This window comes from Homo sapiens, chromosome 6, assembly GCF_000001405.40.
Source record: "Homo sapiens chromosome 6, GRCh38.p14 Primary Assembly".
In the NCBI taxonomy this organism is placed as follows: Eukaryota; Metazoa; Chordata; class Mammalia; order Primates; family Hominidae; genus Homo; species Homo sapiens.
Window position 1 is genome coordinate 169,955,969 of NC_000006.12, and position 27,804 is coordinate 169,983,772.

At 56.2% G+C, this 27,804-nt stretch overlaps 1 long non-coding RNA gene and 1 other non-coding gene across 4 annotated transcripts; both read left to right on the forward strand.

Annotated features, from left to right (window-relative positions):
• Nucleotides 1-3,567: 3,567 nt before the first annotated feature.
• Nucleotides 3,568-26,696, forward strand: LOC107986675 (uncharacterized). Of its 3 annotated transcripts, none has more exons than XR_001744484.3 (2): nucleotides 3,568-4,175; nucleotides 23,778-26,696. It is a non-coding gene; the product is annotated as an uncharacterized LOC107986675 (transcript). The 3 variants fall into 3 exon arrangements; XR_001744486.3 differs by lacking the exon at nucleotides 3,568-4,175 and adding an exon at nucleotides 6,023-6,292; XR_001744485.3 differs by lacking the exon at nucleotides 3,568-4,175 and adding an exon at nucleotides 23,378-23,480.
• LOC100131532 (uncharacterized) lies at nucleotides 6,655-11,710 on the forward strand. Its single transcript, NR_027434.2, has 3 exons — nucleotides 6,655-7,789; nucleotides 9,659-11,293; nucleotides 11,642-11,710. It is a non-coding gene; the product is annotated as an uncharacterized LOC100131532 (long non-coding RNA).
• Nucleotides 26,697-27,804: the final 1,108 nt, after the last annotated feature.

Sequence of the window (27,804 nt, forward strand, 5' to 3'; positions counted from 1 at the left end):
GGTGGCTGTGTGTTTGGCTTTCACTTGGACAAGCCTCCTTTTCCCTCCCACAGAGCTGGCTGCTGCTGCCAAGGCCCCAAGGAGGCTTTCAGGTGAGGGGGCGTGGAGGGGAGGGCCACCTCAGCCCTCAGGATTGGGTGGGCTGGGGCTGAGGACACAAGAGCAGAGTTTTGGGTGGCAAGTGTTGATGCAGGATGGAAACAAATTTGGCTGTCCTGAGGGTCCGGACCTCACTCAGCAGCGGACCAGGGTCTCTGAAGCCCCACCAGCATCACCCAGAGCTAATGGCAACCTCCTCAAGGCACCCATACCCAGCCAGCAACCAACAGGGCTGCTGACCTCCGGCCTCAGCCGACCCTACCAGCCAGGCCTTGCTGAGCCACGCCCACTTCACCTGTGTTCAGTTGCTTCCGGCAGGAGGGGACGCTGGGGTCCGCTTTTGCAGGTCATGCCACCGAATTCAAATGTGGTATCCGTTTTGTGTTTTCAGTCGTCCCTGCATTTTCTTCGTCTGAAATCAGGACGCTAAGTAGCTACAGCTGCATGTGCCGCCTTTGAGAAAATCTCATCCTGAACTCGAGAACACAGACTCAACAGGCAGACGGCCGGGAAGCTACAAGGCAGCGCCTCACAACACTCTCTTCTTTTTCATTCTACTAAAAGTTGCTCTCAAATCCTACTGGACAGAAAGTCCTAAAGCATTCCAAATGTTGCTCCATTTCCAAAAGTGCCGGCGCTGCCTCCTTGGGATCAGAGGCCTTCTGCGCTTGAGCCTGGCACCTGCCCTGGGCCCCAGTGGACGGGTCCTTCCTCTTGGACCACTGGCCCCATGCATTGTCCATCCTCAACACCTTCCCTGTGGTGCCCAGAGGCAGCGTCCAGGAGCACACCCAGGTGCCCAGCGGGACCCCGGAGCTCCCTTTGAACAGGCACCTTCTGGGGCTGGGGTCCCCATGTCTGGGGGGGAATAGGGGGCTGGGGCCCGTGTCTAGGGAGTTATGGGACCTTGCATCTGAGGGGGTGTGGTGGGGGGCTGGGGCCTGCATCTGAGGGCGTGTGGTGGGGGGCTGGGGCCTGCATCTGAGGGGGTTCTGGTGGGGGGCTGGGGCCTGCATCTGAGGGGGTGTGGTGGGGGGCTGGGCCCTGCATCTGAGGGGGTGTGGTGGGGGGCTGGGCCCTGCATCTGAGGGGGTGTGGTGGGGGGCTGGGGCCTGCATCTGAGAGGGTTCTGGTGGGGGACTGGGCCCTGCATCTGAGGGGGTGTGGTGGGTGGCTGGGCCCTGCATTTGAGGGGGTGTGGTGGGGGGCTGCAGCCCTGCATCTGAGGGGGTGTGGTGGGGGGCTGGGCCCTGTATCTGAGAGGGTTGTGGTGGGGGGCTAGACCCTGCATCTGAGAGGGTTATGGTTGGGGGCTGGGGTCTGCATCTGAGGGCCATGGGACCTGGGTTTGTGGCTGCTGGTTCGCCTCTGGGCTCTGCTGCTTCTCACAGTAGTCGCTGAGCCATCGCGGGTCCTGATGTCTCACGGGAGAAGCAGGCCTGGGCAGGTGGCACCTTTGGGAGAAAGCGAAGGGCAGCCTGGGCTGGAGGCTGCACCCAGGCACTGTGGTCAGTGGCTGGGGAATGAGACACGGCCCTCCTGGGCCCCGTGTCCCTTGTGGTGGGGTCTGAGTGCCTACTTCTCTCACCATGGCCCTCGGGGTCCCGTGCCTCTGCGGCCTGAGCCTGCGGTGGGTCCTGGCGCAGCACCTGGACACGGGCCTCCCTGCCTGAGGCCTCCTTCCTTCCTTTTCACCCCCCTGAGCCTCCTTGCCCTTGGCTGGCTGAGCCGGCACATCCCCGTGGCGCCTCTGCACCTCCCCCAAGATCATTCTGCCAGCACGGTCCTCACTGCACCCTCCGGTCCTCCCTGCACCCTACGGCCCTCCCCTGAGATTATTTCGCCAGCCCGATCCTGCACCCTCCCGGCTGCCACTGCCCCTCCCCAGGGAGGCCGCCACAGATGCAATGGCCGGCTCAGGTTGGCTCCTCAGTGGTTGAAAGTGGTTTTGTTTTTGGTGGAACTTGGGGGCAGTGAGAGGCTTGAGATTATTCGTTGAGATAGTTTTCCAGAAAGAAAAAAATGTCACAGATAATTGGTTCTTTGCACTTGTAATATAAACGCAGTAATCTTTATTCTAACTTTTGCTAGAGAAATTGAAGTCGATGATAGCCCCTTTCAATTTTAAGCAGGAACCAAAGTCAACAGAAATTCTGAGTCATAGAATCAGGCCAACTGACATAAAGAAAAAAAAAAACCTGGGTCACTCACAACCACTAGGATGGCAGAAAGACAGGAAGAAAGAGAATGAAAAAAAAAATAAGACGTTATGGCAAAAGGATCCAGAGAAATTTGGGACCCTTGAGCATTGCTCGTGAGAACCATTGTGGAAACGATAGAGGGGCTCCCCAAGAGTTCATTACAGCAAATGGACTTAGCATGCGATCCAGCAGCTCCACTCCTACAACTGAAGACACAGACTCCAGCAAATACTTGTTCATACATGTTCATAATATCATTCGTTACAGTGGCCAGAAGGTGGGAACAGCCCAAATGTCCATCAACAGATGGACGAGCAAAATGCGGTCCATCCATGAGATGGAATATTACTCGGCCCTAAACAACAGTGAAGAAGTACTTGTAAGACCTTGACAACATGCATGAACCTTGAAGACGTTAAGCTTGTGGAAGAAGCCAGATACACAGGACCACGTGTTGTGTGGTTCCATTCATACAAAATGCCCAGGACAGGCAAATCTATGGAGGCAAAGTAGGTTGCTACTTGCCAGCCTGGAGGATCAGGGGGTGAGGAGAAACTGTGCAGGGAGTTCAGAGCCTCCTCTGGAGTCGGGGAAGCGTTCTGGACTAGATGGAGGTGGGACACACCGAACCGTTCACTTCCACATGCTCCACGTTACAGTTGTGAATTTCACTGCAATAAATTAGGGTTATTTTAAATACTTGGGCCAAACCTCAGATTTGCTGATCATTAATCCGTGGCTTTGGGAGCCACTGAGACTTGGCTGTGCTGAGTCCCCTCCTCTGCAAGTTGGAAGAAAAACTCTTCCCGGAGGATGGTTCAGACAAGTAAGTCAAAGCGTGAACACACCAGCAGAGCACCTGCCCTATACCTGCATGGTACCTGAGCATGAAAGACGTTCAAGAACATTCTCTTCCGTCCTCTGAGTCACTAGCAGATGGCCTGTTTCCTGCTGAAAGAAGCACCTGGTACTTGGTGTTTACGAACTCCACTCAGTAAGCGGATCAGTAGCAACAAGGGCACTTTGGCCGTCAGACGCAGAAGTAGCGTTTTCCTCCAGAACACCACCTGTGGTTGGGACAGTGCCGTGCAGCCCCAGCATGTCTGTGACGCACACCTCCTGCCTGCGGGGTGGTCCCCCTCCCGCCACCCCGGTTCTTCCGGGTTTTCGAGCCCTGCCCTCAGCTTCCCCTCCTTCCTCCCCTCCCCGATTTTCCAGCCCTGCCCTCGGCTTCCCCTCCTCCCTCCTCTCCCCCTGGCACCGTTAAAACATTCATGCTGGGCCAGATCATGCTTTTTGACAATGTCTAACGAGCTAGCAGTGAATGATAAATCTGCCGGGCCGCCTCTGTGTCTCAAAGCCACTAGGATCTGCAGCTGTTTCAAGAGCACAGAACAAGAAAGCCTCCAGGAAAGGGGGAAAGAGCGGCATCTGAGCTTGGAGGAAGTCATTTCTGTGAAAATCTTTTAATGCAACAGGGAGCTAAGCAAGTGGGCTGTGTGTGCTGTGGAAGGTGGCGATGTTGGGGTCTTGCCTCCTGCAGTGGATGCCGGCGACAGGGCCTCGGGTGGCTCTCTTAGGACCCACAGGCCCTGCATCTGGATTGGTCAAGTCCCAGGGGCCAGGCCTGCCTCAGAGGTCCTGGGCATTTCACGGCTGGAGGGCACTGCGGAGGTCCATCTGCTGCCCCATGGAGGAGAGCGGGTGCTCAGACACCAATCTTGGTGCCCAATCATTTCCCCTCCTCTGACCTTGAGGGAAAAAGCCAAGATGCAGCCTCTGGACACCAACCTTGAGACATTCTCAGCTCTCAGCTCATCAGCAGAGCCTGGACTCATTACTCCAGGGAAGAAGCTCTGCTTCCGTGGGCCAGGGGTAAGGTCAGACGCAAGGGCCTGAGGCCACATGGGAGCCCAAGCAGCAGGAGGCCCCAGGCCAGTCAGAGCCCTCAGGGCCTCCCAGGGGCTGGCAGGAGCACCTGCTCAGTGGCGAGATGAATGTCCTAAAATGCTATTAACGGAGTTCAGTCTAGGGTTTAAATCAATTTGGCAAACATTTATTGAGTGCCCACTCCCAATAAGGTTCTGAAAAGGCTCTTGAAAAAATGTCTGTGCTTTTGAATTTCAAATGATTGGTTTTAGTATTAGGAGCAACAGAAATCCTGTTATCACTCATCCAAATAATCAGAATTAATTTAGGAGTTGATGGCAAGCAGAGTCCGTTGGTAATTAGGAAACATGGAGAAATAATTAACCATGGCAAGAAATGCGGTTACATTTAACTCCTGCGAAGTTAAAAAAGAACCATGGTACTTTTCTCTGTGAGGCTTAGCAATCCCAGTGCTGGTGAGAGTGGCGCCTGCCTGAGCCCGTGAGGAGCCCTGCGCTGTTCCCCACCCTGGGTGCCATGCTGGCCGCTGGGCCCTTCCTTCAGGGAAGCCAAGCTGGATCCCTGAGTCACTAGGGCGACTGGGTGGGGCCTTGGCCGGATGACCTCCCTTCAGAGAAGGACCAGGGCCTAACTCCATGTCTTTTGTAAATTTATTTTTTTAAGCCTGAATAGAAAATGTCTCCATTATTCACTTTAGTTTTAAATATAGGCGCCTTCTCCCGGCTGGAATCCCCACTGCTAAGCTGGGAGGAGCCTCCAAGCTGGAGCGCTGGGCTTGTCCAGCCAGGCAGCAGACACTGTGGGGAGGCAGTGTGACATCCATCAGGGCTCTCTGTGGCAATGACACTGCATTCCTTTTAGAAAACTCCCTCTCCTCCAGTCTTCCTCCTGAAGGCCACCCCTCTCTACCAGCACTCGGCTCAGGAGGCCTGCGTGGCTCTGACTGATGCCTTTCTCGGCAGCTCTGTCCAGGGGCTAAGGGAGGTGCAGATGAGTCCCTGAGCGCCCTCATGGGGATTGGTCATTTCAGTCCCCATCCTGGGTTCCCCTGGAGGATGTGGGCTCCATGGTGCTGGGCCGTGACTCTCTCTGCCTCAGTGCTCCCAATACCCCCAGCCGTGGACCCTGGTGAGCCCCATGCAAGTGAAGCAGCCCCTCCCAAACCCTCCATCCTTGGAACGCTGTACTGCGGCTGCCAACTCCTCTGGCCTCCACTGCAGACACACAGGGCTCCTCTCTGGAGCTGAAGCTGTACCTCCAGGAGACACTGAGTTCTAGGCTTAGCGCCATAGCGAGCCAGCCCCTTCTTCAGGATGACTGCCAGGGGGAAGTGTCTGTGCATGTGTGTGTTTACGTGTGTGTTTGTATGTGTGTGTGTGTGTGTGTGCATGTGCCTCTCACATGTGTCTGTGATTACCACCCAGCAACTCCTAGACCTGCCCTGTCCCATGGAACTTTCCGGGGTGTGGAGACGATTCTTAGCACTGAGGGTCGCCACAGCCACGTGAGTGCTGGGACACAACCACTGCAACTGAGGAGCGGAGTTTTAATTCTGTTCACTTTAAATTAATTTAAGTAGCCACATGTGGCTAAGGGCCCATACTGGACAGTCGGTTCTTCAAGGAGGTGAATTTGAGATTTTCCCTCAGAAGCCTCCTCTGAGTTCTGCCTGTGCTCTCGGGGGTCTCAGCATCTCGGGCGCCTTCCCCGCCAGGCACCCCCGGGGCGAACGAGGACCGTGGGCCTGTCCTGCCACCATCGCTCTGGAGGTGAGGATGCGGCTCCCGGACACCCGAGGGCGCCCTCCTGAGCCTGAGCCGGACAGAGCGGGGGTCGCGGGAGCTTCCCGGCGCCGGCGCAGCCCCAGGAGGAGGGACGGGTCCTCGCGGTGGGTGACGGTGTCACCGCCAGCATCGCCTCTCCCGGGTTTCGGGGTGGCCGGGGCGCCTCCTCACCGGGGCGGCCGCAGAGCAGGGACCCCAGTGCCTCCCATGGCCGCCCCGACAGGGGACGTTCCCGCCCGGGGCCATTCTCACCGCATCGCGCCCGGGCGGGAGGAGCGCTGGGGCGGCCGGGGCTGGTCTCGGCGGCTCCTGGCCCAGGTTCGTGGCTCTCGCGTTCCCCGGGGTCTGGGCCTGCGCCGGCGGCGGGGCGCCTTCCACCCAGTGATGTGGCGATGCCTCCCGGGCTCATGGGGGAATGTCGGGTCGGCTTCGCGCTGGGCCCACGGCCTCCTCCCGGTGAGACGCCCTCAGGGCTCCCCCATCTCAGCGCCCGGGACGCCGCAGCCATCTCGGTGGGCTGAAGGGAAGTAAGATTCTTGCAGAGGGCGCCTGCCCCAGAAAACAAATTTCATGTACAGGTTTCAAAGAGGCCAAGACGTCCGTGGCTTCCTTCAGGAGAAAGCGGCAAAACCCACGCCCAGATCCGTTGTGCTTTCAGCTTTTCACCAGGAAACTCACTTTTCTATGTAAGAGCAAGCGAGTTCCACAGCGCGGGGAGGCCAGTGGAGAGGAGCGCGGCCTTGCCTGGCTCATGTCCTGTTTCCAGCTTGCCCTGAAAACGAATTACTAAATCCATGGAGGAAGAGCTTGGGGCCTGCCTGGTCCTCGGCCACAGTGGGGCTGGGGCCTGTGACTGCGTGTGCAGAGGGTCCGCGCCCAGGGCCCGGGAAAGGGGCTGCGCTGCCCCGAGCGAGTCCCCGGGCGCCCCCAGCCTGCTGCAGCCACCTCGGGCTCCACATTTCGGCCCCTTCTCCTCTCCGCTGCTCTGGGCTCAGCCACCAAGCTCCACGCTGTGGGCAGAATCCACTGGGGCGCAGGAAACCTCAGCTTCCGCAGCCCACCTGGCCTTCGCAGTCTTCCTCTCCAGGGTTTTATTTCAACATGGCCTTTTCTGCTGCGACTCAGCTGTGGTAGGGGCCAAGTTTGGGTGTGTGAGGCCAGGGAGGTGCGTTGTGTTCTCGCGGAAGAGAGAGACGCAGCGAGGGAGCCCGGGCACACGGACCCAGCTCACCAACCGCAGCCAAACCACCAATTCTGTCCCGTGGCCCTTGGTGACCGGTGACAGGGAGGGAAGGAAACGTGGCCAGCTTCCGCCAGACCACAGGCGAACACAGGTGGGGCGGCCCACTGGCTTGGGCCTAGGAGCTGCAGGAGCAGGGGCCACGGTCCAGCCTGACGCCCCTCTCTTGGGGCAGGAAGTTCCCTCTGTCTGCCGTGAGCAGGGGCACTTGGGAGGGCCCAGCATAGGACCTCAGGAGCTCCCGGAGCAGCCTCAGCAGCCGCAACCCCTCGACCTTGTCCAGCATCACGCCCCGGTGCCAGGGAGACAGACCGAAGAATCCCACCACTGTGCAGGAGAGGAAGCCTACTTTAATTCTGTTCTTGAAGTAATGGCAGGTGAAGATTCGTATGTCATAATTAATTCCTCACTTCTTAGGAATCGCAGCGATTAGCTCTGTCATTCCTTTGTTATCAGAGAGAACTGTGAGTCCTGTTATTCTCACTGCTTCGCCATCTGTGAGCATGCGCAGCCCTCGGCTAAGTTTTCTAAAAGGAACATCACAGCGACTTCCCTGACCTCAGCCAGGACAAAAGGTGAAGTCTAGCACGACGACCCGTGCAGCCTGCATGGCTGGAGGCCCTCCCTTCCCGGTCTCTGGGCACAGGTGCGGGGCCGTGCGCGCGCGTGCGCCTCCACGGTTCCTCCGGGCACAGGTGCGGGAGCTGCGCGCGTGCGTGCTCCTCCAGGGTTCCTCCGGGCACGGGTGCGGGGCCGTGCGCGTGCGTGCGCCTCCACGGGTCCTCCGGGCACAGGTGCGGGGCCGTGCGCGTGCTTGCGCCTCCATGGTTCCTCCGGGCACAGGTGTGGGGCCGTGCGCGTGCGTGCGCCTCCACGGTTCCTCCGAGCACAGGTGCGGGGCTGTGCTCGGAGCGCCTCCAGGTTCCTCTGGGCACAGGTGCAGGGCCGTGCACCAAGTGCCTCCACGGTTCCTGTGAAGGAGTGCGATGGCTCTGTAATTTTTGTCCTCAGCTCCGGTTTACCACAGCTTAGGCCTTTGGGGTCATTTTAAAGTAGTAAAGAAGCTTGAAAGGTAATCCCAAACCAGGTGGTCCTTAAATCATTACTGGGTTCGAAGAATAATTATCATCAGAATAATTTATTATGCATATAATTGTAACTGTGCCCTGTGGACACTGCACATGGTTAAATCAACACCAGGAGGGTATTTTGGTTTCTAAGAACTTTAAAAATATAAGGCAGATGGCATTAATACAGACAAGTAATGAATGAATAAGAATTCATAACAATGAAGCTCTAATGCAACGTATGATTGAATAGGGCAGCTTAGAAGCCTGGAAATTAGGAGGCTCGGTAAGATGAATTGGGTGGTGGTTTCCAAACCTCCTACCAGCATTTGGAAGAGACCCCAGGGATCAGGGCATCTCCAGAATCCAAGCCAGCTCTGCATGTCCGGCCAGTGCCTGCAGCATTTTGGTGCTGAGATAGCATCGTGGGTGGCCCATGGAAGGACGTGTTTGATGGAAGGGAGATAAGAAATGGCCCTAATAAGGAAAGGAAAAACTCTAAGCTGGCCAGAGCTTCCAAGTTGTCCACCTGAGGACTTGGAAGAGTCGATGATCTGAGCTTGCATCTGCAGGGCTGAGGGTGAGCAGGGGTGAGGGTAGCAGAGATAAGAGCTTGAGCCAAGGAGTAAGGGGTGTGACCCACCCCTTGCTTGAGCATGGTCTGTGCTGATGGTGCACTTCTCACCAACAGCAGGGCACAGGGTGTGGGGCATCCAGTCTGAGATTAGATTAAAAAGACTGTGGCTTTTGCTTTGGGGACACTCCCGGCTCATGCTGTTCCGTGCCCTCTGCCCGTCATAAGGACACTTGGCAGCCCTGGGAAGGGGTCACATGGGGAGGACCAGGGCCTGTGGGCAGCCTGGTGAGGGGCTCAGACACCCCACAGGAGCCTGCAGGGGCAGGAAGAGATTTGGGGGAGAGGAAAAGATTTGCTATTTAGGTTGTGGTACTGGTTTCTTGGCTGTATACATATGTTAGGCTGATAATACTTCAATTGCACGCTGTTTATCACACTTTAATTATACACTAATGAGACTGTAAAAACTGAGGAGGTGGCATTATTCGTGGAGAAGAAAAAGCTCAGATTAAACAGGCAGTGGGAAGACATGGTGTTCAGGGGAGGTGAGCCCAGGCGTGCAGATGCTGAGCATGGGCGGTATTTGTCAGGTGATGGAGAAGCTGGCATGCATTATACCTGGCAGGAGTTTGAAGATCTTCCATCTGTGTTTGGATGGCCGCATTGGCTGCAGGGCGTGTAGACAGTGTTGTTGAGAATTGGCTTGAGTGCAAAGGTTAAAATGTACAGTCACTCTGGGGAGTAGAAAGTTTTGCCCTTTTTGAGGTGTAGGGCATGACCTTTAACACTCCCACCATCAGCAGGGAGAAGAGGAATGAAAAGCACAGGAAAACAGGCCAGGGAGTTCATGGATGGAAATGGCATCACAGGCAACAGCCACTCACGAAGATGGACGAGGACCCAAGAGAGAACCAGCGCTGCTCTACACCTGCCTGTCAGTTCGTAGTGGAGAGGGGCACTGTCCGCCGAGCCTCCATCCGTGGAAACGCTCCTCTTCGAGCCCGGCCATTGCTCTGGCTGGGCCTGGTGAGGAATGGCCGACATCACGGACAGTGGCCTTTCCTAGCCCTGACCCTGCAGAGTGCCTCTGGAGCGCATAGTGCTGGCGGACAGGAAGTCAGCAGATCGAAGACAGGGTCCTGGCTTCACGGTGGGTGAGCCGTGTGATGTTTGGGCAAGTCCCTCATGCTCTGTAAGTCTCTCCACTGAGCTGGGTGTGAACGTGGTGCTCTGTGGCAGTGGCACGTGATGACTCCTGCATGGAGTTCTCGTCTCAGCAGGGGCAGTGCCTTGCACCCCGATTTTCAAGCAGCAACCTGAGAGTCCTGGGAGGCCCGTCTTTTCCCCTCGGTCTTTCTGTTGGCCCCACCACTCACATATTTCAGGCCTCACCAAGTCCTGTTAATCCCATTTCCAAAAAATGCCTGGAAGCTTCTACTCCTGGCTCTGCAGCCTCCACCTTTCTCTGAGCTCTGCGGACGCTTCCTCACATCAGCCCTGGATGACTCCAGGAGCCTCCAAAGGGAGCCCCTGCTTCCTGTTCCCCTCCCCTGCGACCTGCTGCCCATGTGCTCCCAAGGGGCTCGTTCCTCCGTGTGGATGGGATCGTGTTCCTGCTCCCCTGCCCCACAACCCACTGCCCGTGTGCACCCGAGGGGCACGTTTTTCTGTGTGAGTGGGATCATGAGCCTCTTTCCTTGGTAGATGTTCTCTTTGCGCTGGAATGAAACCTCAGCTCCCCTGTGACAGGAAGCTCCCCATGGGCCAGTGCTGGGTTTTGGTCTGTCGGCATGTGCTCTCCACCCAGAGAAGACTCACAGCTGGCTGCTCCTCTCACCCCTGAGGCTTCACAGTAAACATCGACTCACAGGAGGGGACCACGTGATTCCCACCGCGTGTCCTGTTCCCTCCATGGAGCATGAGCTTGACCATGGTACAAAGCACCGCACAGCTGCTTTAACCCTGGGAGAGAAGTGTCTTTATGAGATTCTCTGTGTCCCCAGGAAATGCTGCCTTCTCCTGTGAAGCAGTCAGTGGGCCAGGCCCAGTCCTTAAAGATGCAGAGAACCCAACAGGCCCCTCTTCTGCTCACAGCTTCACCTTATGTTATGCAAAATCCCCACACCACTAGAGCATGCTGGCACTGGGTCATGGGTGCCTGCATTTCCCGCAAGCTTGTGACTCGGGGTGCGATACCTCAGCCCGTTTCCAAGCAGCCCCATGAGATCAGGGCTTATTGTGTTTGCTCCATGTATCATGAGGGTGCATCCTGAGAAGGAGAGACTCGCAGGTGGGTGCAAATGATTTGCAGTCACAGAGGAGCCAAGAGCTCCTGACGGGACTAATGAAAGCATGCCTCACTTTAGCCCTGGGCCGGGTTCACGCCTCACCTTAGCCCTGGGCCGGGTTCACGCCTCACCTTAGCCCTGGGCCGGGTTCACGCCTCACCTTAGCCCTGGGCCGGGTTCACGCCTCACCTTAGCCCTGGGCCGGGTTCACGCCTCACCTTAGCCCTGGGCCGGGTTCACGCCTCACCTTAGCCCTGGGCCGGGTTCACGCCTCACCTTAGCCCTGGGCCGGGTTCACGCCTCACCTTAGCCCTGGGCCGGGTTCACGCCTCACCTTAGCCCTGGGCCGGGTTCACGCCTCACCTTAGCCCTGGGCCGGGTTCACGCCTCACCTTAGCCCTGGGCCGGGTTCACGCCTCACCTTAGCCCTGGGCCGGGTTCACGCCTCACCTTAGCCCTGGGCCGGGTTCATGCCTCACCTTAACCCTGGGCCAGGCTGCTGTGTGCCATGTGCTGTTTCTTCATCGGGGGGTTTGGGTACAGAAATACTAAAAATGAATCTTGAAAGAGGTACCGATGGCTTCTTGCGGTTTTTTGGATACAAACAGATTGGTTTTTTCTCAAAGAAGATGAGTGACTATGTTGTCAGTGTCATGGTGCAAAGATGAATACGCACCTGCGGCTAACAAAGCTCCCAGCGATGGGGGATGACCTCGCAAATGTGTCGTGAAATGTGCAGAAGAGGGTTTCATATGCAGGACAGAAGTATCTGGGTGATAGGTGAGCAGTCATTTCTCACTTACTCATCTCTGGGCACTGTGACGTGACTCACATCTGCAATCCCAGTACTTTCAGAGGCCAAGGTGGGAGGATTGCTTAAGGCCAGGGGTTCAAGACCAGCCTGGGCAACATAGCAAGACCCCATCTCTACAAAAAATTAAAAAATTAACCACATGTGGTGGCATGCATCTGTAGTCCCAGCTACTCGGCCGGCTGAGGTGGGAGAATGGCTTGAGCCCAGGAGATCGAGGCTGCAGTGAGCTATGATCCTGCCCCTGCACTTCAGCCTGGGCCACAGAGTGAGATCGTGTCTGTAAAAAATCATCATCATCGTAAAATGAATCACCTGCCACCTGCCATCCATCCTTCTTTCTGAACCGGGTCTGGTCAGTTTCCTCCCAGGGACCTGGTCTCCTGCTCCTGGCTGTAACTTGGTGTAAGAGTTAAAGAAAGAAGAAAGAATCATGAAAAGTGGTTCGACAGTCCAAGACAGGTTTATTTTGGAGAATAAACCTGAGAGGGGCTTCTGGCTGATTTCAGTCAGGAGCATTCTCTCTTACAGACTAACAATATTTAGGGTTTAGAATATTAAGGAGCTTATCACAGGCTTGGATTGTTTCTATGTGAGGGAAAGTTTATTGCAGGGTTGGGATGTCTCTAGTCAGAGGGGAGTTTACCTTAGTGTTGCAGTGTTTCTGTTTATGCTGACATTAGCTGTTAGGCTGATGTTTTGGGGCAGATTTAGGTGGTTTTTTAATCAAGGGGAACTTAAAATGGCAGTGTGTGTCCAGGATGGTGATGTCCTGCTCCTGCTGTAGCTTGGAGGGCAGTGGCTGTGGTGCCCGCCTTCCTCCAACAGAAGACGGGCACCAGGAGCTCATTCTGCAGATTCTTTCTGTCACCACCTGTGCGGTCTCGGTGGTCACAGCCCAGGTTCAGTGGCAGGATGCTGTCCCCGTTCTTTTAATCTCAAGTAAGCGTATGAGGACAGAGTGCCTGGTGGATCCCCGTCCCCCGTGGGCACTGTCCCTGGACTCTTACCATGAGACCTGCTCTGGGCATCAGCTCCAGCTCTGGGCTCTGGGTGCCACCTTTGCCCAGCCCTCCCTTCTATTGCATGACCAGCAAGACCAAGAGCCCTAATAAAGGACAGCAAGGTTAATGGTTTGGACGAGGAAAAGCTGGGATTTTAGGAACAACGGCTGCCAGGCCCTGTCCTAAAGGGAGAGTGGAGTCTCTGGAGGAGCCTGAGGTGGCCCCAGGGACTCAGGAACCTGCGGCTGAGAGCTGGAGAGCGTGGCTCACACAGGTAACCCTGGGACCAGCGCAGTCAGCCGGGAGAAGGCTGAGCATGCTGGGGCACACTCCGTTTTAGTGGCCCCGAGTTTGTTCTATTTTCTGTTGAGCCAGAAAGAGGAGATTGTATTGGATTCCCTTGATCCAGGGTTGCAGGCCTGTTTCTGAGTTACTGATTTCTGTGCCAAATGAGTCTCCTTGCTCGCTGGTCAAAGACCTTGTCCGTTCTCTTTTTCTGTTTTTTTTTTTTTAAGCCTCTGGGGAATTCTCCCCATAAATCATGTTTCCCTGCTACTGAGCAGTTGAAGTGAGAAACCATAGCTGGCACTGCCCCTGCAGAGTAGCCAAGGGCACCTGGCCAGGGCGTCGGCCGCAGCGTCAGTGGTGGAGCTGGCCCAGCAAAGCTGCCCTCCCCGGCAGTTTCTCCACCTGCGTCTTTCTGCTGAAGCCCCTCCGTCTTTCCCCACTGCTCCCACAGTCTTCTCTGGACCTGGGCTGCACACTCTCTCCTCTCTGCCCCTTTCCTCTCCTCCCTCCCAAGCACCCCAAGATCAAGGGCATGGAGCCAGCATATGGTTCTCAGGAGCCGTGGCCGGTCCAGGCGAGAGGCTTCCGGACGCAGAAAGGCCATGGCTGTGGCAGTGCATGCGCCCCTGGGTGCAGGCTCCCCCAGCACATCCCCATCCGACAGAGGCCCAGTCCCACACGGCCTCGTCAGGATGAACTGTGTCTCAAGCGACTGGTTTTCCTGGGGTGGAAGGCACCATCAGTGAGAGGTAGAAGGAGGCTGGGCTGTGGCCTGGCTGTGCTGGTCAGTTGGTTCCTGGGCCCAGGGGGAGTGCTTGGCAAGTCACTGGGCTCTTGCCCTCCTTGTGGGAAGATTTTTAGGGGAGGGAAGAGTACACCTAAAAACAGAGACGTCATTAGCCCTGGATCTCCCTGGTGAGCACTTCTGTGGTAGCCTGAATCCTCCAACACAACCTGTCTGTCACAGACATAGATTCTGAAAAGAAGCACGTGGTCTAGACCCTGGATCGCTCAGCAGAAAAGTGTCATGAGCACTGCACCTTCCAATAAGAAGCATCTCCCGTAGCCCCGGATCCACCAAGAGACCCTGTCATTAGCCCTGGATATCCCAGAAGGAACGCAAGGTCTTCCAGCAAGAAACATCTGCATAGCCCTAAGTCCCTGAACAAGGAATGCCTGTCATTAGCCCTGAAACCCAAGAAGAAACACCTCAGGCCACTGGGCCCCCCAGTGAGAAATGCCTGTCACAGCCCTGGCTGCCCTGAGGAAGAAAATGCCTGTTCTTAGCTGCTGGGTCGGTGGGTAGTTTTGGCAAATGCTGCTCCACGGGCCCGGGGCCTCCTGTGCCTGCAGAGGCAGGAGGGCCAGTTCCCGCAGCTGCACCCAGTTTATTGCTCCCAGCCGTGCGCAGCCTCACCCAGATGGCTGCCAGGATGCATGTGGCGCAGCCCGGGGCCGTCCTTCTGATCTGGAGCCTGGGTGGTCAGTGGGTTTCCCAGGCAGTACGGTGGCCTGCGGCCAGGACGGAGCAGTGAGGGGCAGGCTCACCGGGCTGTGGAGGGAGTGGCCAGCATGTGGGCAGGCCCAGGTCTGGGGCATAGGCACTCATGCATGGCTGCTAGGGCACCAGCGGCCCTGATGTTTGTGCCCTGGGGGTGTGAGCACTGGCTTGAGGCAGGGCCTGGGGCAGCGGCACTGGAACCCGTGTGGTAGGGCCGGAAAGCACTCAGAGCGGCTCCTGAGTAGCAGCAACTTTGTTTCCAGGTCATCCCTGCTTGGCCAGCAGCTGGGGCACAGGAGCATGCAGGCTGCAGCCCTCAGGCACAGGGCAGCAGCAGTGGGCAGTTTAGGGACCACCAGACGCCCCGGGGGCTGGTGACAGGGGACTTGCCCCACTGCTCACCACAGAGCCCCGGCAACCCCGGGATCACAGAGACCCGGCCGCCCCAGGAGCACAGAGACCAGGCCGCCCCAGGAGCACAGAGACCCGGCAACCCAGGAGCATGCCTCCTTGGCCCCAGTTCCGAACAGGGCTTGTGCGGTGAGGGGCGAGGGTGTCCTGTGCTCCCTACACCCGCAGAAGCCGTCTGGCCAAGTGCCCGCCTGCCCAGAGGTACATCCATCCTGGGGCCTGGAGCACGCAGCCCCGGGAGCCCTTCATGTGTGTCCGCAGGGCGCCGTTGACCCCGGTACACGCCCCGGGTTCCTGTGGGGGCTGCGCCTCCTTGATTTTCGGCCTATGTCTGAACAGAATGGGCCATCCCAGGAGGAGTCACCTAGACTGCTTGCTTGCCCCGCAGGACCCAATCTCCAGGCCGGGATCCTGGTCTCTGTCCACTCTGACAGCCTTGCCCACCCGGCCTTTGTGCCCAGGCTTAGGGCACTCCCAGGTCCCGGCGTTCCCACTGCACCTGGGGCCTCGCCCTCCCTAGACCCCGGCTCCTTGGCTTTTCCTTGGGCTCCGCCATGTCTCTCCACCGTGTCTGTCTCCACTGTCTCTCTGCTGTGCCTCCATCATGCCCGCAGCGCCCGCAAGCGCCCTTTGAATAATTGATTTGGTGCAGCTTGAAGCCGCCTGGGACGCTGGAGCCCCTGCCTGCTACTGAGGGATGACAGACCTCACTGGCTTCCTGCAGAGCCCAGCGCCCGGGTCCTGCTTGTCACTGGCCTTGGTTGAGACCCCTTGGCTAGGTCATGATTTATTTTGAGGTTTAGTGCGACCACATGTCAGTGCTGAGGAGAATGATGATCAGATAGTGAATGAGACAAGGATGTAACCGTGAAGATGAAGGCAACGTTTGCCAGACTCCGGGCTCCATGCCACATACGCCAAGTCTCACCACATCTACCCCCAGAAGAGCCCAGCCTGGAGGGAAATGCCTTGGATTCACTGGCCTTGTAGGTGGGTAACAGCCCTAGTGTTGCCAGGAGCCCCCAAGTACCACAGCCTCGGTCTGGGTCACCCAGGACTCTCGTGCAGTGGGTGCGTTCCTCGCTCACTGCCTTCCCTGCCCCAAACAGACTTTCTTCAAGCGATTGCCGGGCCACGGCCTAGGTCTGGGCAACTGCCCCCTCATCTCAGGGACTCCGCACGGCACCCCTGTGAAGTGAAGTCTCTCTCGTCATGGTTTACAGATAAGCGCCTAGTCCAGAGGCCCAGGGTCTGACCCAGGCAGTGGGGGGAGGCTAGGACCCTCAGGGAAGACTACGCACACAGAGGCAGCTCTCCCCACCCCGTTCCCGGGCTGCAGAAGGGGTGCTCTGGGCCTTCTTCCCACTGTCTTTGGCACATAGCTTGTTTTATGTGGAAATGAGAGAACCACCTGAAGGTGCTGCCTGCAGGTCAGTGGCCACCATGGGAAAGGGCTGCCTCCACCCTGGGCTGTGGGCGTCCATCCTCAAAGCTTATTTCAAGAAGAAAAGAAAGATGAATGCGGGGTGTCCTGCCCTCTGGAAAAAAATCGCTGTTTTTAATTACAAGACAATGAGTGCATGCATTTGGAGAAGAACAGAGTGCCCAGGGCCTTCTGAGGATAATGAGCTTCTGGTGACCACACACAAGCCTCTGGGCCCATGGAAAACACTCCATTGCTGGACTTGCATCTCAGGCCTTAGAGAGGCATGGTGGGGAAGACAGGTGAGCCACCCAAGTCTGCACACTCGGGGTCTGCACTTGCCAGTGATCCTGGGACAGTGGGAGCAGGTACCTTTTACCAATTCAGGATGGGGCAGGAGGACAGTGCTGTTCTTGACACAACTGTGTGTGCAGCAGGTGAGGCCACTGTTCCCAAACGTCAGAGCAATCTTGGGCAGCAGGCAGCCAGACACAAGCACCAGAGACCAGGGCTCTGGCTGTGTCCCACTGCAGGCTGGCTGTGTTCATGTGACTGTGGAGGATGGCTGTGCCCATGTCACTGTGGAGGGTGGGTGCGCCCATGTCACTGTGCAGGGTGGGTGCGCCCATGTCACTGTGCAGGGTGGGTGCACCCATGTCACTGTGGAGGGTGCCTGCGCCCATGTCACTGTGCAGGGTGGGTGCGCCCATGTCACTGTGGAGGGTGGCTGCGCCCATGTCACTGTGCAGGGTGGGTGCGCCCATGTCACTGTGGAGGGTGGCTGCGCCCATGTCAGTGTGCAGGGTGGGTGAGCCCATGTCACTGTGGAGGGTGGGTGCGCCCATGTCACTGTGCAGGGTGGGTGCGCCCATGTCACTGTGGAGGGTGGTGCACCCATGTCACTGTGCAGGGTGGGTGCTCCCATGTCACTGTGCAGGGTGGCTGCGCCCATGTCACTGTGGAGGGTGGCTGCGCCCATGTCACTGTGCAGGGTGGGTGCGCCCATGTCACTGTGGAGGGTGCCTGCGCCCATGTCACTGTGCAGGGTGGTACACCCATGTCACTGTGGAGGGTGGTGCGCCCATGTCACTGTGGAGGGTGGTGCGCCCATGTCACTGTGGAGGGTGGGTGAGCCCATGTCACTGTGGAGGGTGGTGCGCCCATGTCACTGTGGAGGGTGGGTGCGCCCATGTCACTGTGGAGGGTGCCTGCGCCCATGTCACTGTGCAGGGTGGGTGCGCCCATGTCACTGTGGAGGGTGCCTGCGCCCATGTCACTGCGGAGGGTGGGTGAGCCCGTGTCACTGCTGAGGGTGGATGCGCCCATGTCACTGTGGAGGGTGCCTGCGCCCATGTCACTGTGCAGGGTGGTACACCCATGTCACTGTGGAGGGTGGTGCGCCCATGTCACTGTGGAGGGTGGGTGCGCCCATGTCACTGTGGAGGGTGGCTGCACCCATGTCACTGTAGATAGTGCCTGCACCTATGTCACTGTAGACATGGTGTGCTACCATGAGGGTGTGCACAGTGTCACTATGTGGAGTACACACCCTCCTCTTTTGCATGCATATTTTCCCTTGTCCTTTTATCACGGTTATCTGTGTTTTCACCCTAGGTTTATGTGGAGAACTCCACATCTACACAGCCTATTTACCCGGAGTTTGGGTCGCCCACTGTGTGGACACTGAAGGGGCCTGACTCAGCTGAGTGGGTGGACTCGTATATGGTTGTGCAGCACCTCCCACCATTTCTCCTCCACATCTGTGCGCTCTCTGGACAACATTTCTTTGTTCTATTGCACCTGTATGTCTTGTTCTTATTTTCAAGGCACGGAACACTGGCGCCTGGCTGTATTGAAATGGTTTTGTCTGCTATTTAAATTGTCTTTAACGAATTCACCATCCATGGTTAAATATTGAGTCAGAGCTGAGGAAACACTTCCTCCTCCCAGTTACCTTTCCATGTTGGTCAGGTCAAGGAGAAAATCTGTCTTTGTTGAGACGTGGTTTATCTGCTTCGCAACATTTAACAGAGGGATGGCTGTGGCCATCATATCCTGCTAATTATTTGTAACTGTTTTTATAGATTTACTTTCTATTAGTGGAAATGTCTGTTGAGCTTCCTTCTTATGCTATAAAGGTAATGCTTTATATGCATTTTTCAGGTATAATAATGTGCTGTGAGATTAAAACTGAATGTACATCATTCCACAGCAGATGGGACAGATGTGACGGCGTCGTGTTTGCATGTGGACAAGGCATTCCTGCAAGCCTCGGGTGTCTGGGCTGGTCTGTTCGGCCGTCCGTGAGGATGCACTGTTCCACCTGCTCTCTTCATCTGTCTCTTGCCCTGCCAGCCTCTGCCAGCACATGGGGCTTCTCTTGGTCTTCTGGAGGATGTGAGGGATGTCACCAGTCACCATCCTCTACAGTGCTGTGGCCCTGGGTGCCAGGGTGAGGAGTAGGAACTCGAAACAGAAGATGATGACAAGAGGAATAGGTGTGGTTGTGTCTGAAGATGTCCATCTGGCAACTTCACTCAACACCAACAGGCAGAAACCTTGGCTGCTGTCGAAGCATAAAAACAAACAACTCTGGAACCAAAGATATGATATTGGGAAAATCTGTGATGGACAGGGCCCTGTAGCTCCTGAAGGGCAGAAGGAGCCCAGGTCTCTGCCTGACTCCTCTTCCACATCGAGCATACTGGACCTGGGGTGGGGGAGGGAGGACAAGCTGGGGAGCACCCAGTGACTCGGAAAGGAGCCACAGCTGAGGGGCAGCAGCCAAGGCCACGCCTGCCCCTCAGTCGAGGCTGTGAGTGTTCTGCAGACCTGGGGCCTGCCATTCCCCAGCACCTGTGCCTATCACTTAGGAGAAGCCGGTCTCGGTCCCCATGGGATTGCCCTAAGAATGTGGTCGTCCCGGAGCTGACATTTCTGAAGGATGTGCTCAGAGACTCTTCAGCCTCCTCTGGTGCCCACAGGGCCCTCCCGGACAGCACGCTTCTCCTCAGGGCAGGGCGGACGCCTGGTTGGCCCCCAGCCTCGGACAGCACGCTTCTCCTCAGGGCAGGGCGGATGCCTGGTTGGCCCCCAGCCTTCAGTGCACCTGAGCAGAGGCACCACTTTCCAGGCCCAGGGGAAGAGTGACCACAGTAGACTCAGCTGTCACTCACGTGCTGCTTTTATCTAGTTGGGTTTTACTGCAAATACCCTCACATGGTCCCCGGGTTCTCACATGCACACAGAAGGGTGTCCAGTCTGGATTGCAGTGATGTTCTGCACATACCCTCTCATGGCCCCCGGGTTCTCGCATGCACACAGGAGGGTGCACACTCCGCCCCCAGGTTCACACATGCACACAGGACGGTGCACACTCCGCCCCCAGGTTCACACATGCACACAGGACGGTGCACACTCCGCCCCCAGGTTCACACATGCATGCAGGAGGGTACACACTCTGCCCCCGGGTTCACACATGCACACAGGAGGGTACACACTCCAGATTGCAGTCATGTTCTGCACCCAACACATGTTTTTGAGCATCTTCATGCTGGGTTCTTTTTCTGGGTCAGTTTCATAAACACCTTTTCCTAGGACCAGCAGAGCCTATCCATCAACCCTGGGCTGTTTCCCTTCCTTCCTGCTTGGCACCCTTCACTCCAGCCTGGATGTGCATGTCAATAATTTTAAGCCAAAAGAGAACAGTGTGAGTTGTGCCCGTGCACCCTCCACAGCTCAGTCGACAGCGAGAGGGCCGTGTGGTCTTCACGGGGATCTCAGAGCCCATCCGATGTCATCAGAAGCTCTGCAGTGAAAGACCCTCCTGCAGGGCCCAGGGACCGGAGCCTTCCAGGAGTCCATGCTCAGTGCGGCTTCCATATCCACAACCTGTCCCTGGGAGGCCCTGCTGCGGCAGAGGGAGGACAGGTCCCCAGCTGAAGACGGCAGCACCTTGAGGCAGGGGGGCCTCCCCGCTTCTCCACTGGCTCCACTGACAAGGAGAATATCCACCTTGCCCTGCATAACCCCATGCTCTGAACAATAGGACACGGTGCTGGGAAGCCGGCCGTGCCCCAGCATGATTTTTATCTAGTGGAGGAAGTGAATAAGCAAGTGTGAATTATGGGGCCAAGTGAGAAAGTGCCCACAGCGATGCCTGAACCAGGTGCTATGGAAACGGGAGGAAGGACCGGCCGGGCACAGGGGGGGCCGGGGGGGGCAGTCCCAGTGGTCTCCTCCCTCCTCCTCCCTGGTCACACTTCTTCCCCGGGGGACTTTATCCTTTCCCTTTCACTGTGCTGATTGCAAATGTTTCCTTCAGAAAAGGAAGACACCGGCTGTAGTGTTTGGGGTGTGGTGGTGCCGGGCGGGGAACATGTCAGCTTCTGAGTCTGGCCGATGACTTCATCTCCGCTCATCCCTGCGATGGACTCAGGGCTCGGGAGTCAGGAGCGAGGTGCCTTCCGGTGGTGGTTACGGTAAATCGGCTGCCACGTCCTACAGCATGCAGATCGGAAGCATCTGATTAACACGAGTGTGACTCGGACCTCCCTGGTCTCCTCCCTCTGTCCCTCCTCCTTTCTTTCATTCAGTCAACATTTTAAAAATTCATACTATGGGCCAGGCACGGTGGCTCACACCTGTAATCCCAGCACTTTGGGAGGCCAAGGCGGGCAGATCACGAGGTCAGGAGATCCAGACCATCCTGGCTAACATGGTGAAACCCCGTCTCTACTAAAAATACAAAAATTTAGCCAGGCGTCGTGGCGGACACCTGTAGTCCCAGTTACTCAGGACGCTGAGGCAGGAGAATGGCGTGAACCTGGGAGGTGGAGCTTGCAGTGAGCCGAGATTGCGCCACTGCACTCCGGCCTGGGAGACAGAGTGAGACTCCGTCTCAAAAAAAAAAATTTCATACTATGTGACAGGCACTGTTGCAGGGCCCAGGGATCAGCAAGAAAGATGAACTGGAAGGAGCGCCCGGCCTCTCAGGCTCCCCGGGTGCAGGGAGGCAGGCACGTGCCCCGTGGTTGCAGCTGGAGTGAGTGACAGACTCCGCACGCCGGGCGGGAGGTGGCACCACAGTGTGCTCTAAAGAGCCTGGGGCCGGGAGAAGAAGGGCCAGAGGGTTTCAGAAAGAAGACCAGAAGGACGTGCAATGTGCAAGGAACAGGGCGAGTGAAATACTGGAGTTAGAGATGTGGACACGCACCTCTCCTCGCAGGAGTCATTCTGTTCAGGTGGCCGATGGAGGTGGGCAAAGGAGGCGGCCAGGGTTGGGGGACCTGAAGGTCTGGATTTCATGCCTTCGGAAACCACAGGGCAGCTTCAGCAGAGGAGAAACATGATGGAGTTTGCATTTTAGTGAGGTTAATGTGGAACAGGACCCAAGCAGAGGGGCAGCCCACACAGGGAGCCATGGCTTCCCTGGCATAGCCATGCCCCAGCCGTACCTGCCACAGGGCACCCCAAATGGATGCTCCTTTTGGATGGGACTTGGGTGTTACAAGCAGGGGCATTTGGGGCTTCCCGGTGCCTGCAGCATGAAGGCACCTTCTTTGAACCCGTAACTCCCCCCGTGGAGATCCAGGCTCCACAGCGGAGTCCGTGAGAGTCCCAAGTGCCCAGCCCCGGGTCAGCTGCACCCAGAGCGCCCTAACAGAAGTGGGAACTCGGTGAATAGTCACTCCATAAATAACTGCGTGTCTGACATAACCCTGTTCTTCGTGTTCATTAGAGCTGAGGATGGCAGAGGAAAAAGCTGGCATATAGTAATTACAGTTGAATATGGGAAGTAGCTTTCCCTCCAGGAGCTCCCTTGCATTATTCTTACTATTAAAGGATTAATCCATTCCTACTTATTAAGAGTACTTTTTGAGAGGTATCAAGCTTTGGTTAATTAATGGAAATTTAAATTTATGAGGAATAAGTAAACTTTTTTGTGAAATACTATTTCCATCGAACTACTGCTAGATCCCCTTGACAGAGGGGGTCTTTAGGAAAAACCATGTGAAAGAAAACCCTACGGAACCTCCCAGGTAAGGTGGCCCCAGAGCATCTCTGAGCAGGTGGATGGCAGCGGGACCCGCCACTCTCACTGAGCCCCCGGGCTCCCCGCGGGAACGAAGGGAAGGCGGTTCTGTTGCATATGTGGCCTGTTGGCCCAGAAAGTGGCTCCCGCGAGTCAGAGTTGCAGAACACACAGCTGGGCAGCCTGCCCTGAGCCGCCCGCTATTCCCGTTGTTCATCAGATCTAAACATGTCAAAACAAGGCCTTCCGGCTGCCTGTTACTCACAAGAAAGTGACTGACATACTTTCCAGCTCGCAAATGATGTGCGTGCTTCCCCATGGCTTCATCTGTGCAGCATGCGGAAGGCAGCTGGGCTTGGATGGCAGCTCTGGCCTGCAGTGTGGGCTGTGGGAGCAAGTGGCTCTGGACGGGAGTGTCCCGCGTGCTGGCTCAGCCACCGTTTCCTGTGGGCCCGGTGCTGCCCTGCCAGGGTTCTGAGATCATCCGTGCCACACCGTCAGCCTCCGAGTCAGGGCCTCCGTGGGAACACTGAGCACCACGCTGGGCTCTGAGATGTGACTGCATTGACCCTGGCTCACTCTACACACGGAACTAAATTCTAGTCATCTTAAACTGCCAAACACACAAACTGCCAAACTGTCAAACTAGTAGAGAAGCCCCCTGGGGAGGCGGTGGTCTCTGGGTACAAGCAGAGCCTAGATGCCTTCTCAGCCAGAGGGCACGCAAGTGCGCAAAGCCTCCCAGGATCCAGACAGAGAAGAGGCGTCACCTTTACAGACCCCACGGCAGGCTCCTGGGATAATTTTAACACCTGCAAGGACGGTAGCTACGGGGATTAAACATGCGGAAATGTTGAGATCGGTGGGTTCACAACAATACTAAACTTATAATTGATACCTTTTGATCACTGCTATTCGGTAATCTGAACAAGTCAATACTGACAAAGCACCATTAATAAATATAATTAATGCAAACAGGTGATTGTAAAACATACATGTGTTAGAAGGGACTTCTGTAAGTAATTTATCCTATAAAAGAATTCTTTAAATCATATACACACACACATATATGATTATTCTTGCAGGATGCCAGTGAATCAAATGTCTTTTAAAAAACAGGTAAATAAACAGGATCTAACATTAATCTTGTCTTTTTTAGGTGAACTGTACTACTAATACGGTACAAACGAGGGAAAGGTTCTCTTTGGATGAGTCTTCCAGCTGCCAAGTGGGGAATGATGGCATGAGAATACTGCCCTTTTGCACCTCCTGATCAATGAATCAAAGCAATGTCACCAATGGCAGATTATACCCCACATAAAGGTAGACCCTCAAGCCAGGGTGAATGATCAAACTTGGATCTGACACAGCGTCCAGAGCCAGCTACCAGCTACAGGAAGCACAGGCCGCAGAGTGCTGAGCTGAATGATGCCCAGACACAGCCAGCACGGTCCCGGAGGTGGCAGGCTCTGCAGGACAGACGGCCATGTCGTTGCAGGTAAATCACATGGAAAGGGGGAGACGGGAGAACCCCAGCATCCCACCGCAGGGTCCAGACGCACGCACACTGATTCCAACACGCTGCAGTTAGCGGTGGGTGCTCGTGGATAACTAGGGCCTGTGAAGGCTGACTGTGAAGTTGACAGTTTGATTGATCTGATGGAATGATTGATAGCTTTTTAAACACGACAGTGGGACTGTGGTTATGGTTTGCTAAACACAGCTTATCTTTTTAGACATGTAGGGGGTTATTTATGGAAGAAATAATGTGAGGTGTGGGACTTGCCTAGCATAATGGGATAGCTGGGGACTTTCTCTTCACTGACCCTTGCTTTCTGGGTGTCCTCAGAAAGGCTGTGTCTTTAGTCACAGTGTGTGACATTCTACATTCATTCTGAATCCCTCGCCTGAATTGGTGCTTGCTGGAACCAGATAGGTTCACTATACTATGCTTCCTATTTAAAAGTTCTAAAATGCAATAGAAGAAAATAGGAGAATATTTTTGTAACTGGGAGGTAGAAAAATTTCCTAAGCAATGCAAGAAACTCTGAAGCCCCCAAATAACAAAACTTTTCTATGACAACATCTGCCATAAGGAAAAGGGAAGGGGAGCCTGGAAGAAGATATTCACAGCGTACGACCCAAGATAGCCGCCCACACGGCACGGAAACCCACAAAATGGAAAGACGGGGAGACCCAGGACTCCGGAGAAACATGAATACAACAACTCAAATGGCCAGCCTCGCTTGTCCTGGGAAACGCCCAGTTAGAAAGGCAGCAGAATACATCTCACCCATGAGACTGGCGGAAAGGAGCAGGGTGGATGGGGTGCTGGCGCTCTGTTGGTGGAACAGAGGCTGGTAACATCTTTCAGAAGGAAACACAGCCACATTGATTCACATGGAAATGCATTTGCTCTAACTGAACAATTCAGTTCCCAGAAATCAACTCTAAAAGCCTCTTGCCCACTGACAGCTTCATATTGTGCGAGCTGGGCACCCTGTGGCTTCCATTTCTGGTGTTTGTGCTGCATCAGCTTTGCTCCTTTGGGACTGGGTTTCCCAAACGCTCTTCCCGCCTTGTTCTGAGTGGTGGGAGCCACACAAGACGTCTGACGTTTGAGGAGATTGGGAAGCAGAAGTGTGGCAGCCCCCACACACCCAAAGCAAGCAGCTACCACAAACGCACTCGCCCCTCTGGGGTGGGCAGCAGGACGGTCCCCACAGGACCCTCATCCAGCAGCCGCTGGGGCTTCCCGCAGCTCCCATGTCACTGAACCTGGAGGGGGCTCAGGGTCCTCACTGCTCACTGAACCTGGAGGGGGCTCAGGATCCTCACTGCTCACTGAGGCTGGAGGGGGCTCAGGGTCCTCAAAGCTCACTGAACCTGGAGGGGGCTCAGGGTCCTCACTGCTCACCGAGGCTGGAGGGTCTCAGTGTCCTCACTGCCTGCTTTGCCTTGCAGTCCTTCTGGGCACAGCCCTGCTGGTCTCCAGCCTGTTTCTCATGCTCTGCTTCACAACAGGTCAACTTCTGTAATATTGCCCTTGAAGGTGGACGTGCAAGCCTGTTCCATCCTCTTGTCCAACAAGGCGAAGGTGTGAGTTTCCTCACGGAGAGCCTGCTGGCTTAGAGGAGATGCTCACCTGGGAATCCGGCTCAGTCACATCACCTGGGAACCCGGCTCAGTCACATCACCTGGGAACCCCGCTCTGTCACATCACCTGGGAACCCAGCTAAGTCACATCACCTGGGAACCTGGCTCAGTCACATCACCTGGGAACCTGGCTCAGTCACATCACCTGGGAATCTGGCTCAGTCACATCACCTGGGAATCTGGATCACTCACAGGGTGCTTTAGCCTGAGCTATAGATGTTCTGATTTGAATCACTGGCCAGGACTGAAACATGGGTTCATTTCAGATCAAACCTGGATTTCTTGCTTCTCTTGGAAAAATTTGGCCACGTTGGGGCCACACTCCCACATAGGAATAACCTCGTGTATAAGGGGGTGCAGCTATTGACTCCCCACACACAGAGGTGTCTGCAGGGGCCACAGTGCCTCCCACCCCCGTGGGGTCCATGCTCAGGCCTAAGGCAGAGCCCCCACTAGTGATGGGCAGGGCAGATGGAGGCTCCTGGTGAGGTTCCCGTGAGAAACAAGGAAGGACACGGGAAGGAAAGGAGGGAGGGGGGAGAGACAGAGACAGAGAGAGAGAGAAACACTGGGACGTTCTCCCCTCCATCCCGGGCACACACAGGGTTTTCTGTGTGTCTATAACATGCTGTGTGTGATGGTGACGACCAAGGGTTGGCAATCGCCTTTCTCAGATGGATCTGAGAGTGGCCCTGCTCCGATATAGTCCCAGCTGTGCTTTAAAGCCTTTGCCACTCCAAATTCACTCAGGGTAGATAGTGCTCAGCGTAGCACATGAGGGCACACAGAACTCTAGAGGCAGCGAGTGCCCCAGGGGCAGTGGCACAGACAAGCTTCCCACATACACAGGGAGCCCAAGATACAGACAGCCCCATCACATAACAGATCACATACACATTGGCGTGGAGCCGTTTCTGAGCTGCTGTTCAGTCCCTTGTGTATCAGGGATTTGCTGATCCCCACTCAGGCCAGGACCGTGTCAGGCGCCCATGGCCACAGCCTGAGCAGGATGGACCTGCCGGCACCGCTGGGACAGAGCCCCTGCCCCAGGCTGAGAAGCAAGTGGAAGGCTCCGGCAGAGCGGGTGCCAAGCCCCCACCCTGGCCTCTCCACAGTCCCGCACGGGCAGAGCCAGCGAGCCAGGCACGAGCCTGGTTCTCTGAAAAAGCGCAAAGTGTACAGCCTCTTTAAATCTGAAATAACATAGACATAAGGGTGCTTATCTCTACTTGATTCAAATGTACTTCAAGTCCCCAGTCACACTGGCAGAACTGGGGGACGCAGCTACTGGCCCAGGTGAGCGGCTGCACCTGCATCCCCCCAAAGCCTCGGGATCCCTGCAGCCTGTGGCCCTGCCCAGCCCCTCCTGGAAGGCTCGGATCCCCTCAGCAAGGCAGGGGTGGCCTCCACAGCTGTGCTCTGTGGCCCCAAGGTGGGAACTCAGCAAGAAATGGCTTTGGCTTTGGTTGGGTTGTGGACGTGATCACCTCGTTGGAACATAAAGTGCATTTGAGTGGCCGGCGTGGCCCATGCTACGCAGGACAGAGTCAGGTCAGGTCAGGTCAGCCGGGGTCGGCACGTGGCGCCATCGCCCCCATGGGTCTCCTCCAGGAAGGACGCCGGGAACTCTGGTTTGCTGTGGAGGCTTCAGGGGGAGCGGAGTCCAGCTGACTGGCCCCTAGCAGTAAGAATCCTGGCATTCAAAGTCTTTGAAAATCTCTCCTGAAGGCCCAGTTAATAGGACGGGGTGGGGGAACTCCTGGGATGTTCCAAACTCAGTCTCATGGAGGCCACTCTCTGGTGACAGTGCCTGAGCTGACGGGACCGCAGCAAGCAGGACAATGCTGACCCAGCGTTAGAGGCAGACGCCGTAGATGCAAACTTGCAGACAGTCCTGGTGGAAGCTGAATGTAGGTACATCAATGGCCCGTCATGCAGCACACGTGCAATGATGGAAGACCACAAGGAAAAACCACAAGGCACCTGAGGAAGGGCCGCAAGGTCACTCCAGGGGAGACCGTGAGATCACT